Source organism: Homo sapiens, chromosome 12 (genome assembly GCF_000001405.40).
Source record: "Homo sapiens chromosome 12, GRCh38.p14 Primary Assembly".
Taxonomy (NCBI): Eukaryota; Metazoa; Chordata; class Mammalia; order Primates; family Hominidae; genus Homo; species Homo sapiens.
Genome location: NC_000012.12, coordinates 21,610,022 through 21,613,758, shown reverse-complemented (window position 1 = coordinate 21,613,758; position 3,737 = coordinate 21,610,022).

Here is a 3,737-nt window from a genome sequence, read left to right as displayed (position 1 = left end):
GTATTTTTGTTCTCCAGCCAGGTGACCATGTTTCCAGGATGAATGGGAAACCAGCTTAGTTCATAATCCAAAAAGTAAGCATTCTTAAGGTTTACCTTCATTCATAGAATACATTTGAGTTTATTAGCAAAACCAAAGGTTCTAAATATTATGTCTTAAAAAATAAATAAAACCTTTTTTTGCCATAAAAATGTTAATATGCCTTGTGGGTAGGATAAATAGCGGCATTACTTTCATCTCTAATTCATTAATTCATCATTGATTTATTAATTCAATTGTGGTTTTAACTAGGCAGCTATGCATACATTTAGCGAAAAGCTGATTTCATTTAAAGAAACTTGCTGGAGATCACACATCTAAAAACAGGCAACTCCCCAAATTAAACCAATGCTCTTATTTCTTAAGATATCCTATGTTGAAGCATGTATTTACACCCCCACCTGTTTTCCTCATACTGTGTTAGAAAGACTTCTTAAAACAAATAGAACATATTTGGCATCTGTGGGCTAGCATATAAACTTAGAAAAAAAATCTCTTGACAGTTTCTAATATCCCTCTACTTTTTATCAACTTTCCACCCTAAATCAACATCAAAGGGTTTTATTATCTCTTATCAGGAAAGTGATTCCACAATATTCCTTGGAAACTATTTAAGTGTTACAGGAACCATTTGTTTTCTAGTCAAAGTGCATATGGAACAGCCAATCACATAAAGTATAGTGACTGAGAACCCAGTACTGATCTTGTGGAAGATATAATCTTATAAAAACATTAAATGTGAGTATAACTTAGCATTAAATCTTAATATCTAATTTTCCCTCAAAATCGTGATAATAATAGGGCTGGGTAATGTTATGACTGTTAGGACTTCTCCTCTTGGTCTGACACTACCACATCCAGAATTTGCGTTTAGTGAGAATGTGCTTTTATGCCTTCTCCATATGCAAATAGAGATTAGGTTGACAGAAACAGCTAAATTTAAAAAAAAATGTGTTCTCAAGGAGATATTTGACTTGTTTTGATGGTAAAGGAGTTACTTGGGATCTCATGTGTTGTGGGTTTCATCAAGGTGGGGTAGGACTGATTCTCAGGTTTGCCTAACTACATTGAGCATTAACACAGAAGGTAAAAAAGGTAACTACCAAAAGGCATTCCACCTGACAGAAACTAATTTAGTGCCACACCTGTACTAACATTCGAATTTTCCTCTTTATATTAAAAAAAATTTTCATCGACTCTTTCTTTCTCTTTCTTTCTTTCTTTCTCTTTTTCTTTCTTTCTTTCTCTCTCTTTCTTTCTCTCTCTCTCTCTCTTTCTTTTTTGAGACAGGGTTTCACTCTTGTTGCCCAGGCTAGAGTGCAATGGCGTGATCTTGGCTCACTGCAACCTCCGCCTCCTGAGTTCAAGCCATTCTCCCGCCTCAGTCTCTCGAGTAGCTGGGATTACAGGCATGCACCACCATACTTGGCTAATTTTGTATTTTTAGTAGAGATGGGGTTTCTCCATTTTGGTCAGGGTGGTCTCGAACTCCTGGCCTCAAGTGGTCCACCTGCCTTGGCCTCCCAAAGTGTTGGGATTACAAGCGTGAGCCACTGCGCCCGGCTTTGTCAACTATTTTCATGACACCATTTTGGAAAAAAAAGTTTAACATTGCCACTTATATTACTTGACTTGTTTATCTTTGTAATACTTGGCATTTACTCATATGTATATACCACTGTATATTTTATAAGCCTCTGCATAGCATATATGCTTCTGCTTCATACAAAATCACCATGTAAATAATATTTGACAATATTTCATATCTTAAATTTGGTGGAGAATGTCAGAAAAGTAAGCCTGTTGTTCAGTATTCCTAGCCTTCATATCAGCATCTCTCACCTGAGCAGAGCGTGGAGAAAAGAGAGCCTAGATGGCAGCCAACTGATGGTCTCCTGCAGGAGGCAGATGAGCAGCTTGAGCTGGCTGGCCATCAGGTTGACTCCATGCATCTGGCTTGGAATCCCTGATCTCTGAGCCGATGCAGGCTTTGGCAGACACTGTGCAAAGAGCATTCATACATGCTCATTTAATCCCCACAACAACCTCGTGAAGTGAATATCATCACCCCCATTTCACAGTCTACTAAGTAGTCCACTTCTAAATGAGACTGGCTTGACTCCAAAGCCCTAGTTTTTTTTTTTTTTTTTTTTGAGACGGAGTCTCGCTCTGTCGCCCAGGCCGGACTGCGGACTGCAGTGGCGCAATCTCGGCTCACTGCAAGCTCCGCTTCCCGGGTTCACGCCATTCTCCTGCCTCAGCCTCCCGAGTAGCTGAGACTACAGGCGCCCGCCACCGCGCCCGGCTAATTTTTTTGTATTTTTAGTAGAGACGGGGTTTCACCTTCTTAGCCAGGATGGTCTCGATCTCCTGACCTCATGATCCACCCGCCTCGGCCTCCCAAAGTGCTGGGATTACAGGCGTGAGCCACCGCGCCCGGCCCAAAGCCCTAGTTTTTAACAATTTTACTCTGCTCCCTCTTTCCTGGTAAACTCAAAGTGTCATCGAGCCTTGGCTTCCACTCTTGGCACGTAAGCTCTTATCATTGCACATTTTCTCTCCAGGCTCTGTTTTTGTAAACTTTTATTTAAAAATATTTCTTATATTGATTTTATTAAAAATTCCTTGGGAGAATAGAGGACCGTACATGGATGTCACAGAACGAGATAAGGACGAAAGCAACACATTTGATTAAACGTCACTGGATGACTTGATCTCTTCCCAGAGAGATATTATCCCTCTGCTTTCTCTCTTACCCAAAATCTTATTTGTTTACTTCTTTATCCATAGGGGCTATAGCTACCTTTCCTACATTTGATTTTAGCCAAAAGGCCGAGAAGCGATAGCTACCTTTCCTAATCCCTTCATCTTGTGTAGCAAAAGAGTTTAAAATAAAATTAGAGAAGAGGGATCACAAACCAAAAGCTCTATTCCAAAAACAAGTTCTGAGTATACGGGTAAAATTCAGTCTATACTAAGGTAATCTCAACAGTCAAGGTCAAAAATCTCTCTCACGATCTTCAGTGTGATGGATGGGCATTGTCAGCTTAGATTGTAAGTTTAATTTAAGGATAATTTCTTGCTTTGCCTTTGGCTGCTTCCTGATCAGCAACTCCAAATGCACGTGGAAAAAAAAATTAACTCAGGAGCTTAAGTGTTTCTAGAAACCTGACAGTTAATGTAGGCCCATGGAGACTGAGATGACTGTGATGATTTCAGGAGAGATTTACCCAGCTCCAGCTGATTATTTCATGAAGCCATGCAAATAGAATCCAGAGTGGCCAGATCTGATTTTTGAAGAGAAATCCAAAGGTTTATGTGAAATCTCTTTTGAAAGATGTTTGACTCTTTTGTGGCAACACTGCATGTACCAATCTAAACTCATCGCACCATATTGCGGCCTCTGCCTTAAAAGTTGACCCTTCTGGAGCTCTGCTTCATGTAGTTTACCCTATCCACCCTGCACCTCCTCTTCCTCAGAACCTACCACTCCCATGGCTTCAGTTACCAACTGTGCCCCAGATCTCTCATCTCAGGTTCTTAGTAGGCATAATATTTAACTTCTTACTGAGCATCTGGCTGGTGTCTCAAACTCACCACATCGGAAAGAGAAGTCATTCTCTAATGTCTCAAGCAAATCTATTTCCCTCCCACACTCAATATTTCTTATTGTGGTACACTGCATGACCATCCACTTG